At 42.2% G+C, this 15,051-nt stretch overlaps 1 protein-coding gene across 4 annotated transcripts in view; it reads right to left on the bottom strand.

Annotated features, from left to right (window-relative positions):
• Nucleotides 1-15,051, bottom strand: part of KL (klotho) — a 49,901-nt gene that overhangs the window by 3,145 nt on the left and 31,705 nt on the right. For 2 of the 4 annotated variants that reach the window (XM_006719895.3, NM_004795.4), the window contains exons 2-4: nucleotides 8,722-9,232; nucleotides 7,684-7,952; nucleotides 1,219-2,320 (exon numbers count right to left, since the gene is read on the bottom strand). In XM_006719895.3, the coding sequence (XP_006719958.1) occupies nucleotides 1,219-2,320; nucleotides 7,684-7,952; nucleotides 8,722-9,130 (1,780 nt within the window). In that variant the 5' untranslated portion in view covers nucleotides 9,131-9,232. Of the gene's footprint in view, nucleotides 1-1,218; nucleotides 2,321-4,681; nucleotides 5,052-7,633; nucleotides 7,953-8,721; nucleotides 9,233-15,051 lie in introns of those variants that run through there. The other 2 variants (XM_047430776.1, XM_047430775.1) reach the window with 2 other exon arrangements.

Raw genomic sequence — 15,051 nt, 5'->3', positions numbered from 1 at the left:
CCATTTTCTGTGCATGTGTCTAACCTGTTACTTCATTTTCCCCCCCTGCCAATCACTCTTCACCATGCCTTAGACCACCCATTCCCTAACCCATACATATTCCTAAGCCTTGTCTTCAGAGAGGCAGGATTGGAAGTTATTCTCCCACCCCCTCGCTTGGTCCCCTTACAAATAAATCTTTTCTCTTTTGCAAAACCTGTGTCACAGTGATTGATTTACTACACAGAGAGAACAAACCTGGACCTGGTTGTTAAATGGGTGTTTTACATAATTCAATCTACTATGATATACTTGGGTTAAATCCTTTTTTTTTTTTTTTTTTTTTTGAGATGGAGTCTTGCTCTGTCACCCAGGCTGGAGTGCAATGGTGCAATCTTGGCTCACTGCAGCCTCCACGTCCCCAGTTCAAGTGATTCTTCTGCCTCAGCCTCCCGAGTAGCTGAGATTACAGGTGTGCATCACTACACCTGGATAATTTTCGTATTTTCAGTAGAGACGGGGTTTCACCATGTTGGTCAGGCTGGTCTTGAACTTCTGACCTCAGATGATCCACCTGCCTCAGCCTCCCAAAGTGCTGGGATTACAGGCATGAGCCACCATGCTTGGTCTTTTTTTTTTTGAAATAGTGTCTTGCTCTGTCACCCAGGCCAGATTGCAGTGCTGTGATCATGATTCACTGCAGCTGGACCTCCCAAGCTCAAGCAATCCTCCCGCCTCTCCTCCCAAGTAACTGAATCTGCAGGCGTATATGCCACCGTGCCCAGCTAATTTTTGTGATTTTTAGTAGAGACAAGGTCTCACTATGTTGCCCAGGCTGGTCTCAAACTTCTAGGCTCAAGCAATCCTCCTGCCTTGGCCTTCCAAAATGCTGGGATTACAGGTGTGAGCCACCATGCCCAGCAAGGTTAAATCTTTATGTACTGCTTTATGTACATGAAACAGTTAAGACTGCTGTGGAGCCATCCAAGATGGAAGACAAGAATCTAGGCTTGCATAGATCCAGAGTAGGGGCTAGGGATTTCTGGTCTTCTACTTTTAGCTACACTCCTTTATCCTTGGGGAAATGCTAGATATCTCTTGGACTGTTTCAGTGAGGCACAAAATGGATAGCCCTCCATTCCAAGGGTGGCAGTGTGTGTTGATGTTGGAGATTTAATCAAGTGTCATGCCCTCTGGTGACATAACCTTCAGGAGATAGCCGCAGCTAGGGCTCCTTACCTTTGAGAGCTTCGTTTATGTAATTCTGCATATAATACACCCTCAGCTGGTCGTCCTCAGCATGCAGCCCGTCATCGATTCCATTGGATATTATGTACATGGGGAGGTCTCCGTACTTGAACTTCAGCCAGTTCAGCACTTTGCGCAACCCCCAGGGCACTACCGCCACCTGACTGGGGGAGTTGAGCCACGTGATGTCGGTCATTTCTTGCACTTCTAGGTAATCATTGTATTTTATTGGATCTTCTTTTTCTGAGTCTACAAGGATGGTGGTATAATGGCTTAAAGCCAAAAAGTCAAAGGTACCCTGGATTAGCTTTTTTTCATCTTCAGTGAAATAAGGAAGAAGAAAATTGTTTCTTTGGTTCAGCCAGTCCCTCATCACCCATGGATAATCTCCAGAGCCGAAAATGGGCTCAGCCAGCCAGCCAATGTCAAATTCCAAAACTCTCTCAGCCACCTCTTTGTCCTTTTGGGAGAAAGGGCAGGCAGGTTCTATCCAATCAGCCTGCAAGGCTATGGATATTTTCCCATTCTGAGCATGCCTAAACTTTTCATTGTACACATGCCAAGCCAGGGCATGGGCCTTCAGAAGGTTGTGGCCAGCACTGTATGTCATATTCCTTGTATACGGCTCATTCATCGTTATCCAAAGCTTGACGTGATGGCCGAGCTCTTGAAAGCACAGTCGGGCATACTCTGCAAAGGCCAGGGCAGTGTAGGGGTTCTCCCAGGCGCCCTGCCTGGCCAGGAGGCGCGGCAGTCCTTGGTTCGGGGCCATAGGCTGCCACAGGGCCACCACTGGGGTGATGTTGACACGGACAAGCTCGCTGGCCATGCAGCGATAGTACTGCAGGATGGTGTGGTTCACCTGGGACTGGTTACCCAGAGGGAGAATCAGGGCCCAGTCCAGGGAGAAGCGAAAATGTGTAACGTGCATTTCCTGGAGTAAAGCGATCTGGGGCTGGATGGCAGCAAAGTCAACACAGTAGGATTTCCTCTTCTTGGTCACAACCCCATCCACTTTAATAAGCCTTTTACTGTGGTGGACATCCCACAGGTAAACATTCAGGTCGGTAAACTGAGACAGAGTGGTATCTACCTGTGAAGGGCAGAGTAAACATTAGCGTCACCTGGGCAGTCCTGAGGAAGTAATTCAAAGCAATTATTTCAGCAAAACTAGCCAGGAATATGAGCAAAAATAGAAGCCTTTCTAGCTGAGAATGTGAACTATTTTTCATAAATTGTCAGCTCCTGAGGAAGACAATATTCCACTTTCTGATATGCACACTCGCTTTACCCATAGTTCTAACTCTTCAACTGTTTCTTTAATGTGACCCCCAAAAGTCTGGATTTGGTCACTTCAGATGACAAATGCTAATGAGTCTTGCACACTACTTGTCGGTGTTATGTAAGCAGAGTATTTTTGGGTGTTTTTCTTTTAATGTAAGAAATCATTAATGTCATGAGGCTTTCAAATTTAAAAAGAAAAAAAACTAGATGAAAAAAAGAAAAAACTTAAAATGTGAGTGAGTTGGCCAGGTGCGGTGGCTCATGCCTATAATCCCAGCACTTTGAGAGGCCGAGGCGGGAGGGTCACTTGAGGCCAGGAGTTGGAGACCAGCTGGGGCAACACGTCCAAACCCCGTCTTGGCCCGGCATGGTGGCACGGGCCTGTAGTCCTAGTTGCTCGGGAGGCTGAGGTATGAGGATCACCTAAGCCTGGGAGGTCAAGGCTGCAGTAAGTCATGATCACATCACTGTACATCGGCCTCAGTGACAGAGCAAGATCTTGTCTCAAAAAAGAAGATTTAAAAAACTGAGTGAGTTAAGTAAGAAAATGAAAAGATATTTATAATTAAATTGTGCTTAAAATTACGCTCTAAATTGAGGTTTGCTATAGGTAGAGGAAGTGCTAAATAAACATAACTCTTGCCTTTTGTTGGGTTTAGGGTCAGTGACAGAATTTAACAAATTCAATCTGACTGATGGTAGAAAGTCCGAGAGAGAGGCCAGGCGCAGTGGCTCACGCCTGTAATCCCGGCACTTTGCGGGGCCAAGGCGGGCAGATCATGAGATCAGGAGTTTGAGACCAGCCTGACCAACATGGTGAAACCCCATCTCTACTAAAAATACAAAAAGTAGCCAGGTGTGGTGGTGCACACCTGTAATCCCAGCTACTCAGGAAGCTGAGGCGGGAGAATCACTTGAACCCGGGAGGCAGAGGTTGCAGTGAGCCAGGATCATGGCACTGCACTCCAGCCTGAGTGACAGAGCGAGACTTCATCTCAAAAAAAAAATAGAAAAAAAGAAAAGAAAGTCTAAGGAGGGAGAATGTGGAAGGAAAGAACAATATTGTCATCCACCCATAGTGGAATTTTTAACGTAGTTAAAAAATTTTTCTAAATTATTCTTCTGTAACAATGATGATGATTATAGTTCTCAATCATATGCTATAAAATCCTCCCAAATAAAAATTTAAAAAAAGTATTTAGGAAAAGTGTGCAAATTATAAAATCAAAATCACAAAATCATTCCTTCATGTGTCTGCTGTGGAGGGAATGCAAAGTGAAAAATCCAGCTGGAAGATCTGCACCCTAAGCCTGTGTTCCCCTCTGAAATAATCCTGTTAGAACAGGTTCCTTGGTCTGATGCTCTGTATAAAAGCAGGGGTCAGAAACCATAGCAGAGGTTTTGTTGCATTTTACGGGCCTGTTGCAAATGCACTGCTATTTCTCTGGAGAGATAAGTGTGTTTATAAAGAAAAGTCATTAAAAACAGCATGTCAAAGGGAAATTGCCTTTTCTGGAGAATTGTCCCTTGCAGAACACCCACACATGCACTTCCCCTAATGCTGTGGGAATGCTGTCAGAGTATTTTTCCACTGTGATGCACCCCACAAATCATGTTTCCTTAGCTTTGAAGGACAGAATATTTGCACGCTCTTTTGAAGCGTTCAGAGTTTGAAGGAATTTTTTGGATTATTTTTATAGAGCTCTGAGTTGACTAAATTCATAACTTTTTTTTTTAACCGTGATTGTTCCAAAACAACAGCTTTTATTCAGTCCATCTGAAAACAAATATGAAAGACTAGGGTATCATTTCTGGAGGAAAAAAAAAGTTTCTTGAAAATACAGGACAGGCCGGGCATGGTGGCTCACGCCTGTAATCCCAGCACTTTGGGAGGCCGAGGTGGGTGGATCCCGAGGTCAGGAGATTGAGACCATCCTGGCTAACACAGTGAAACCCGGTCTCTACTAAAAATACAAAAAATTAGCCGGGTGCGGTGGCGGGCACCTGTAGCCCCAGCTACTCAGGAGGCTGAGGCAGGAGAATGGCGTGACCTTAGGAGGCGGAGCTTGCAGTGAGCCGAGATCACGCCACTGCACTCCAGCCTGGGCGACAGAGCAAGACTCTGTCAAAAAAAAAGAAAAAAAAAAAAAGAAAATACAGGACTTTTGGGGCAAAATTCCACCTAACCTCCATTAATTTGTTAACTAAGATTTTACTAAAAAAATAAAATAGTGAAGTTGGACCTTTCAGAAGGAACGGCTATTAAAACATGTATTTAGTATGTTATGGGAGAAACTTTCTCCTAACAGGGACCAATGTTAAAGAGGCTCTATGTCCTCACTACATAGTGAGTTCAATATTTATATTAACTATGAGCATCCGTGGTTATGGGAAAACAAACCTCTCAGCCGAGAAAGTGGGTCCAAGTAAAGTGACAATCCATGTGAATGAGCCTAAAGTCAGGTTGTGTGCTTCTTAGGATATTATTTTTCAAGTTGTTCAGGTGAAATGCATGCCTCAAACACTGAAAGTCTGAAATACTAGCCAGGAGGGAAAAGATGAAGTTCAGTGGTTTAAAAATCACTTCTCAGGACTTTAATATAATGTCTTAAAGCTGTAGAGTACTGTTTGTAAGTGAAAACACACACACCTCAGAACTGACATACAAAGAACTTATTTTGACTACGTCAGGTCAGTTAGGGAGTTAGCTTGAGAAGGGTACTGTCAATATAACACAAAGCCTGAGGTGAAAACCAGAAGAAGAAAATAGCAATTGCAGCCTTTCCCCACCAGGGAGCTTCCAGAGAAGCTCTCATCTGCTGTGGGTTTGAGAGTGACTTAATTTTGTGTTTGTTGGGTTCTGCACAGGAGGAGACTGCCAGGAGGAGGGGTGGGGTCCCCAAGCTGATGAGGAAAAAAGGACCGTGTGATCTGAGAGAGAGACCTCTGGGGCCAATTAGTGGCTGACCTTAGGTCAGATTCTAAAACAATAGCTTCTAGAGTGTAGTAGGAAAAGGAATTATCTCCCATCTCCCTTGCTATTCACTGCTATACTTATTGCTTCTGACCAGCGTTTTCTCTTCTCCCTCAAGGAAATAGGATGTACCCTTAAGACTTTCTCACTATTTACCAATTCCCAAAGCCAGCGCACAGCCCCCTGATGAGGAATAGAACAGGAGAAGTAGGGCTCCCTCCGACACCCCCACTCTTGTTCTGCATTCGTTCCCATGATCTGCACAGCAATGCTGGCTGGGAGATTGTGCCGCATACAAAGGACTGAACCTGCCAGACTCAGGCTGCTATCAGAGATCCGTGCTCAGCAGGGAGCAGGCAGAAGGTCAAGAGATAGAACAAGGACCAGGGACCATCCGATCTATCCCCAACCCCAGTAAAGAGGAGGAGGAAGGAAGGCTACGGAGGTCTTCTTCCCTTTCTCCTCCCCTTCTTCCTCACCAGCCTCACTTCTCCCACCTCAGATCCTCTCTGAACCCCACAGTGGAATCCACTCTGAGGAGGGAAATTAGGATAAGGAGATTTCAAATAGCAGGAGGCTGGGAGAGAAGGAGAGAGTCGGGGCAGGGCAGAAAATTGCACACCGAGCAGGAGGGAGCTCAGAAGCCTTTCTCCTGGGCTCACATATCCTGGCATAAAAGATGACACATCCAGTCATTTTTTTTTTTAAGAGACGGACTCTTGCTCTGTCACCCAGGCTGGAGTGCAGTGGCGCAATCTCGGCTCACTGCAAGCTCCGCCTCCTGGGTTCATGCCATTCTCCTGCCCCAGCCTCCAGAGTAGCTGGGACTACAGGTGCCCGCCACCACACCCGGATAATTTTTTTTTTTTTTTTTGTATTTTTAGTAGAGACGGGGTTTCACCGTGTTATTCAGGATGGTCTTGATCTCCTGACCTCATGATCCGCCCGCCTCGGCCTCCCAAAGTGCTGGGATTACAGGCGTGAGCCAGTCATCTTTTAAATGGAAGGCGAGGGTTTAAGTCTGAGACTGCCTGTAAAATGAACTGGGTGGTCTGAAAAAGAAGAATAATCCCAACCAGCAAAAAATGTACTAAGGATGGTGTTAATTTATTTCCTTATAAATAAAAGATTTCAATTGGATATTTACAAGAAAACAGCAACCCATTTCACATTCTTCCAAGTGTTTCCTTTCAAGCTGTGATTTGCAGAACCAATTAATTGGCTACCATAACCCAACATGTCAAAGCCAACTGCTTGTCTATGGACACTGAACTCTGTCTCTGTCTTGAGGGCTATTTTCACACTTGGGACTCTATCAGCAGCAATCCCCCAGCCCCGCCCTTGTTACTTACCACCATGCCCGCTTCACTCCATTGCATCATTTGTGCATACATTGTTTTCGCTCAGTAGACTCCTTTGCTCCTTTGAAAGCAAAGGTTACCCTTACTCATCTCAGTATACCCTCTACCTGCACTCCCCTTAACCAAGCGACCCGAGCAACTAACACAAGGCTTCGGACACACTAGACATCCAATAAGTGCTTACTAGAGTATCCAGTCAAATGCTGGAAAACAAGCCCCTTCAAAATTTAGGAAGTCTGAAAGAATGTTAAGGGCTTACTACTGAGAAGATGCTCAATAAATATTGGTTGATCATTCTGAAGAAATTTCGTATCATTTCAATGACTATTGCTAAAAAAGACATTCTGACCAGTGAATCATTGGATCTAGGGTTTACTTTCTTAGGGTATTTCTGCACATTTGTGGAGCCCACAGTTGTGCCTCTGGAGGACTCTGCCTAATGTTCCTGCCTCAGTCTCAGCAGCACCACTGAAACTCAGAGGCTTTGGAGTTCTGTGTTAGATCCTGTTCATGAAAAAACTCAACTGCCTTAAAAAGGATCAAAAACCACAGTATGAAAAGAGAGTGTTTTATCTTTTTACTGTCTTAATCGGATCTTAAATATTGATATGCTTTAAATTTATTTATCTTTGGATCTAACTTAAACAAGATGAAGATTGGAAGAGTTTTGGAGAGAAGGGTGCAGCATTCCAAATTGTGCCCTTAGTGTACTCATAAGGAATTGTTTTTGGCTCAAAGAACGGACAATGTGCCATGACAATCAGCCTAGGAAGGAAGCACTACTTACTAGTGATAGGGCTTGGTGAGACTGCTGATTGGTTTTGTCAGCTGACTTACTTGAATGTAGTTGTCAACAACTCCCCAAGCAAAGTCACAGGGAAATGTCCCTTCTAGGGGCTGATTTTCAGGTAAAGGAGGGAAGCCATTTTTCTCTATCAGCTTTTGGTAGAACAAGGCTGAAGACTTTGGCAACAACATCTTGTCCTGGCTTAGAAAGTCAACATAGAAGAGTCCACGCCTGATGCTGTAACCTCTGTGCCACTCGAAACCATCCATGAGGGACCATGCGGTATACCCGATGACATCCACCCCATCCAGCTTGATGGCTGCAAAGGGAAGAGGGGACAAGAGCAACATGACCCTTCGCTGGGCACTTGCATCATGGTTCAAGAGCAGCTGAGCGTTTCCTACTTAAATAAATAAAGTGTAATGCTTCTCGTTTGGTAAGCCAATGATTTTTCTTCTTGACGAAAGACTCTAATCAAACCTATATAACTCTACAAATAAATGCCCTCAAAATTGGCCTATCTAATATGTTTTTTGGATTTCTGAGCACCTTGAAAAAATAGTTCCTTATTTATAATAGATATTCTACAGGGCTGGAAAGATGTCTTGTACCACTTTCCATCCTAGACACCCAGCTTTGTGTCTGATGCAATAAATAAATAAATGAAGGCTTTAAAAGCATGATCTATTTATACTATTTTCTCTAGAAAACATGGACATTCCTTTTTCTTTAAAGTGTTTTATTCAACCAAAATAACAAGAACTGAAAAACATGTGCAGAGAGCTAGATATCCTGGGATTTGTTTTATGTTCAATTTAATCTAAAAATCTAGATTAATAACTGAAAGTTAAGTAATTACAAATATTATAACCCAGTTTCTCATTTACAAATGGGTTTTTAAAAATTAATTCAAGTTCCTCAAGACTCCAAATGAGAAAGGTGTTAAATGAATGCATTCTACTATTGCCAAAATGAATGTCTCCATTAGGATTTAAAAATATAAATTCACATCATTTATGTTAGATAATCTTAGAGATTTTTTTCCAGAAGATTTTGGCAGGAAATGAGAACTTTACCCACAATCATACCTTTTAAGGTTTCCATGATGAACTTTTTGAGGTAATACATATATTTGGCATCATCTCTCTTGGTGGTCCCTGAGACAAACCAGCCATTTTCCACAATAAATATTTGAGGATGGTTAAATTCAAGGTCAATCCAGGAAAGCAGTTGCCTCAGGTTGGGAGATTCCAATTGGCGGAACTTCATGTGAGGGTCCAAAAGTTGAAAACTCAAGGTGGGTCCAAAGCAAAGAGCAAAAAAGTCAGCAGTTCCTTTGATGAACTTTTTCTCAGATTCAGTAAAATCAGGCAGAATAGATGAAAGGTTATTCTTCATGCTCTCGGGATAGTCACCATCAATAAATACGGGTTTGGCAAACCAACCTAGTACAAAGTCCAGAGATTTTTGACATTCTTTGATGCTGTGGTCGGTCATTCTTCGAGGATTGATCCAGTGAGAGCTTAGGGCAATGGACACCTGACCTCCCTGAGTGGGACGGAAAGAAGTATTGTAGAGATGCCAGACTTTGGCATGAGCCTATGAAGAGAAAAACCATGGCAAATTTATCTCTAGTTGTGAGGAGAAATGCAATATAATACTTGAATCCCCAAATCAGATTATATCTGTTTCTCATCAAGCCTAACTTAATGACTAACAATATAAAAATCAGCTAGAACCAATACATTATTTCAAAGGTAGGTCACCCCACAGTGAGGTGCTACGGGGACTAGAGTTATTTCCATTGGTCTTTAGCAGTCAGTGGAAAAATGTAGATTCCTTGGGTTGAGTGTGTAGTTATCCACATTTTGAAAAGCTAATGAAATAAAAGAATTTGTTATAATAGCTTACTATTTAATTGACTTTGGATTATGTACTTTTTAATTTACGGGTTTCATGAAAAGAACCAATGCTACATCTGTGATCACACCAGGAATTTCTAAATAGGATTATATTTTTTATCCTGAGACTGGGAGTTTTCAAAATGACTCAGGTCGTTGGAGTTAATTTACTGTTTCATAGTCATCTCTCGTAGCTAAAATTCTAACAAGCAATCTTCTTTCTTCCCAAGAAGAATCAGTACAATAAATTAAAGAACCCACTCCAGCATCTAACCTTGGCCTACCCTCCAGAACTCTGGGACAGTTCTGGTTTCCCACAGACCCAGGGTGCTAGGTCCAAGCCAAGAGCAAAAAACAGCAAAATACAGCTGCAAGGAAATCAGTTGTCCATTGTTAGCATGCAGCCAGGAGTTTCGTACAGCAGTGAAAAGGGCTTTGCATCCATAAAACCAACTTTATACTCCCATAAATTCTTACTGACTTCTAATATCTTATTTTCATTTGTTTCCTTTTTATTTACAAGGAAGAGTGAAAATTATAGGGGTTTTTTCTCCCCTACTTGAAGTGAGTTTCTCTTTCTCTTTGAATTCCTTGATTTACTCTCCCTATTTTCCTACAAATACAAGTGTTGTTTATCAGCCTTTATTCCCCTAACATATCCTCTTTGAAAACTCCATTCAAATTCTCTGTTTGACTCCATATATTCTCCAAAATGATCATGCCAATTTTCATTCCACTCCCTGGGCCTGCAGAAACTCCTTTGTTCATTAAGCCAAACAGCCTCTTCAACATATCCTAAATATTCCTCTCGTGGTTCATTTCAGTACAGGCATCCAAGAATGGCCTCATCAACATTCTTATGGGTTCAGCCAAACATTTCAATGAAATAAGATAGTTTGTGGCTAACTTTTCTTTTTAGTTTCTTGGTGAACATATCTACTATGTTTCATTTCACTAAATGTATTTTTTCACGACCTGAAGCAGCTATCTATATGCTAAGAAGGAAATAGAGAATCAAATGTTGATCAAAAGAATAGTGGCACTTGCTTATGTGGTCTAAGAAACCAGGGTCTTAATCGTGCCACACTTCTGTCAGTTTTATGATGTCTCCTACCCTTCTCCATCTTCCCCATCACACCTCCCCAGGCCTCCCTTCCTCATTGAAAGGAAACCTCATGATGTTAACAGTTAAACAGAGGCTGGGCATGATGGCTCATGCCTGCAGTCCCAGCACTTTGGGAGGCCGAAATCCCAGCACATTGGGAGAATCCCTTGATACCAGGAGTTCACAACTAGCCTGCGCAAAGAGTGAGACCCCATTTCTACCAAAAAATCCAAAACTTAACCAGTCATGGTGCTGTGTGCCTGTAGTCCCAGCTACTAGGAAGGCTGAGGCAGGAGGATCACTTGAGCCCAGGAGATGGAGGCTTCGGTGAGCCATGTTCACACCACTGACCTCCAGCCCAGGTGACAGAGAAAGATATGTCTCACAAAACAAAAACAAACAAACAAATAAACACAACAGTTAAACATAAAATCCATTGAGCAGTCCAGGCTAGTACTCAGCAATTAACCTCTTGAGACCAAAAACCAGGGGACTTTCCTAATTTGACCGCATTTGAGGCCTATGAACAGTCATGTCCTAAATCTACCAGGCACCTTTCTGTAGAATAAGCGCTGAACAGGGAATGAAAGAGTGAAAGCAAACAAAGAATGCATTAATCTCGGTCAGTTTTGCAGGTAGCTGAAGTCATACAATGGAATTTTTTATAATTATAGACCACTCTTCTAACCTTGAGGACTTTAACAAGGCTCAGAGGAGGAGGTTTAGCAAGGACATGATAAATGACCTGGGCCATAAGGAAAGACATATATGGTCTCTGATGGCAGATAAAGTTCCTGCTCCATCACTCTTTTTTGTTTTGTTTTGTTTTAAGACTGGGTCTCACTCTGTCACCCTGACTGGAGTGAAGTGATGGGATCATGGCTCACTGCAGCCTCTACCTCCCAGGCTCAAGCAATCGTCCCACTTCAACCTCCCAAGTAACTGGGACTACAGGCACCTGGCTAATTTCTTTTTTATTTCTAGTAGAGATTAAATCTTGCTGTGTTGCCCTGGCTGGTCTTAAACTCCTGGGCTCAAGCGATCCTCAGCCTCCCACCTCAGCCTCCCAAAGTGCTGAGATTACAGGCATGAGCCACCGCACCTGGCCTTCGTCACTCTTGAGTTGGCCACATTCCTTAATTTGGGCAGGTAAATCTAACTTTCCTGTGCCTCACAGGACTGTTGTGAGGACTAAATGAGACAATTCATGTAAAACTCCTAATGCAGAGTTTGCAACAGTAGGATCTCCATGAATGCGTATCCCTTCTCTCTCTAGAGGATGAACAAACCAAAAGGAAGAATATTGCAGGTGGAGGAAACAACCCCTGCTAAGGAATTCAGCCCACAGTAGCGATGTGACATACTGATAAAACTTGGGGTTTGGAGTAGAAGAGACTTAGGTTTAGATTCCCTACTCCTCTAACTATGACCGGTGTGAGCCTCACTTACTGCTCTGTACAAGTGGGAATGACATCTATTGTCCCGTAGGGACACTGTGAGGATTAAATGACATAATGCAAGTGAGAGTGTCTTTTAAGTAGTTGATTATTTTACAGAGGAATACACTTGCAGCATTAGAAAGCATTTCAGATATCATTTGGATTAACTGCTCACCTCATGCCAAAACCCTGTTGAAACTTATTTGATTACTCTTTACAGCATCCTAACTTGGTGGTCATCCCAGGCATGGCACCGTCTCTAAGAAATCGCTGCAACCCCATGGACCCCCATACTGTGCTGCATGCCCCTCCTCTGGACACCAAGAGTCTCACACATACTTCTCTAATATCATTTACTGCAGATAATGAGGGGCATCCCTCCCCAGAATGAGCTCCCTGTGGAGTTCCCTCACTCCCTCCCTGGCACACGGAGGCCCTCATTGTCTGTTAAACTGAGTTGAACCAGCTTCACCACCTCTTCACGAGCCAGTTCACTCCCTTTGCGGATGGTACATTTGACAGATTAAATATTATGAGGCAGAGTGTGGGAAGGTCGCTATTTAGGATGTTGCAACAAATAAGGATGATTAACAGGGAGATGGTTACATATAGTCTTGCAATGCTTTCTAATTATTCCTGGTATGTTAATCTTATAGGCTTGTTGTCTTAAGATTGGGATTTAATAAAGTTATTGACAAGGACTCAGTGAAGTTATTAACTGTATGGCCAAGAACATTCATCTAAATACTATTTTTAATAGCCAAACATTGAAAACAATTGAAATGTCTAATATTCAAATATGTTTACCATGTATGAATGTTTTAATACATGATAGTATAACTAAAGAAATACCATTATTCAGGATAATGCAAAAGAATATCAATTAACATGTAAAAACGTTTCTAAAATACTCTGAACAGAAAAAGGTTATAAAATAGCAAGTAGAGTTTAGTAGCACTTTGATCTGGAGGGATTTATAACTTGTTAAAACCTGTTTTACAGCAGGATTGTGGGTGGTATAATTCACTTCATTTTACCCATCTATATATTTTTTTCATTTCCTACCATAAACATGTATTGCTCTAGAGATTAAAAAAATAAAATTCAAAAAGGGAAAATGGCTGATAGCAGTTGGATGGCAGGCCTGTTTGATGGTTATTAAAAGTCTCTGCTTCATCTCACCCTGCCCACCTGTTCTCCAACTTGCCCTATGGTCTCTGCCTGAAATCCAAGTCCCAGGCACATTGAACCCCACTTGAAGTTCTAAGATTATCTAGCCTTCCATGCTTTGGAGGTGCAGCTCTCTAAGGTATGTTTTGCCTATTCCCAGTTCCTTCACTCTTACACCCACTTTAAAACTCAGCTTAGATGTCGCCACCTCCAGGAAGCATTCCTTGACATCTTCCCTCTCCCTAGCATGGACTAAATGTCTGTTCTATGTGTTTCTATGATGGTCCTCTATCCAAGACCTTAACCATATATTATTGCATTTATTTAAGTGTCTGGATTGTAGGTGTTTTGAAGGCATTGAGTCTTTTATCTCTCAGATTCTAGCAAAGTCTCTGCAACAGAGCCAGTATTCAATAAACAGATCTAGAGGAATGAAGGCTGGCACTAAGAACCAGATCAAAGGGTCTAGGACAGAAGCAACATTTTTCTGGGCTGAAGCAGGAAAACTCTCTCATAAGCTACTCTGGTTCTTATTTTGCTTTCAAGATCATGAAAGACAGAAAACTTTCAGGCACATACCATTAAAAAATAAATTAGAAGGAATTTTATATGGCAGGCCTCTGAGAATAATACCATATTATCTCATAATGTGCTAATGATCCACTTTGGGGTATAAGTCTCTCTCGTATGTGATGCCCTCCTTGCTTCCTTCTTACCTTCCATCTAGATTTTGAAACATGGAGTCTGAAAAAAATCTAGAAGAAAAATGGATCTGGAATTCCTTCCTACCAACTAGCTAGTAGCCCCAAATTTTGGAAGTCGAGGAAAATAATTTTGGAAGTCGAGGAAAATACTCTGAATTCCACAGAACATATAGACATTTTCTCTTTGGCTAAATTATAAGCTCCCTGTCATTTGCCTATACGTATCCCCCACAGAACCCAACAAAAAGTTTCACACAAATAAGCTGCTTTTAAATGGTGGGTGGAAGGAAACAGGTGATGAGCCTCAGGTCCACTCCAGCTTTCTGCCTTGGGTTGTGTTCTAGGTATGGCTGAGGCAAATGAAGCCCACACAATACACAGCAGTATTGCTGAGCTGAAAAGGAAGAAAGCAATGATGAGGACTCTGAAGCAGGTCAACGTACTGGAGAGAAGAAATCTACACAAAGGAAGGACCTAGAAGTCTGCATGAGATTTCCCAAGGATCCTTGGCTGTCCATGCACAGGACAAGATTTTGTGAGGCTCAGCAAAGAGAAGCAGCCACAGGTCTGGGAGATGAATACCAAAGGTTGGGTAGGTCTGGAAAATATTGCATTTCAGAATAGCCAGAGTAGAAAAATGCAGCTGAGCACTTCAGGCATCCAGCTGAAACTCAGGAAGGTCATTACCTGAGAAGTAAGAACAAAGCAGGAATAGACCAGCTCTAACAAAGACTAAAGCCACATCAAGTAAATCTGGTAATTTAACTTCTTGGCAGAACTAAATACAACACCCTTTAAAAAGAGACAATATTGACCAGGCTTCCTATAATATCTCATTCATAGCACACAGAGCATAATAAAAATCTACTAGATATGTGAAAAAGCAGGAAAATGAAACCCTTAATTAAGGGGAAAAAAAGAAGTATTCAATATCAACAGAAGCCAAGATGTCCCAGACATTGGGATTAGCAGAGGACTTTAAAATAGCTATTATAAATATTTTTAAGGATTTCAAAGAAAAGATAGATATAATGAACAAATGGAGAATAACAACAGAGAAACAACAACTGAAGAAAACATGAAAATTCTAGAACTGAAA

This window comes from Homo sapiens, chromosome 13 (assembly GCF_000001405.40).
Source record: "Homo sapiens chromosome 13, GRCh38.p14 Primary Assembly".
Classification (NCBI taxonomy): Eukaryota; Metazoa; Chordata; class Mammalia; order Primates; family Hominidae; genus Homo; species Homo sapiens.
Note: the sequence above shows the minus strand (reverse complement) of the source record. Positions and strands in the feature narration are given on the sequence as shown.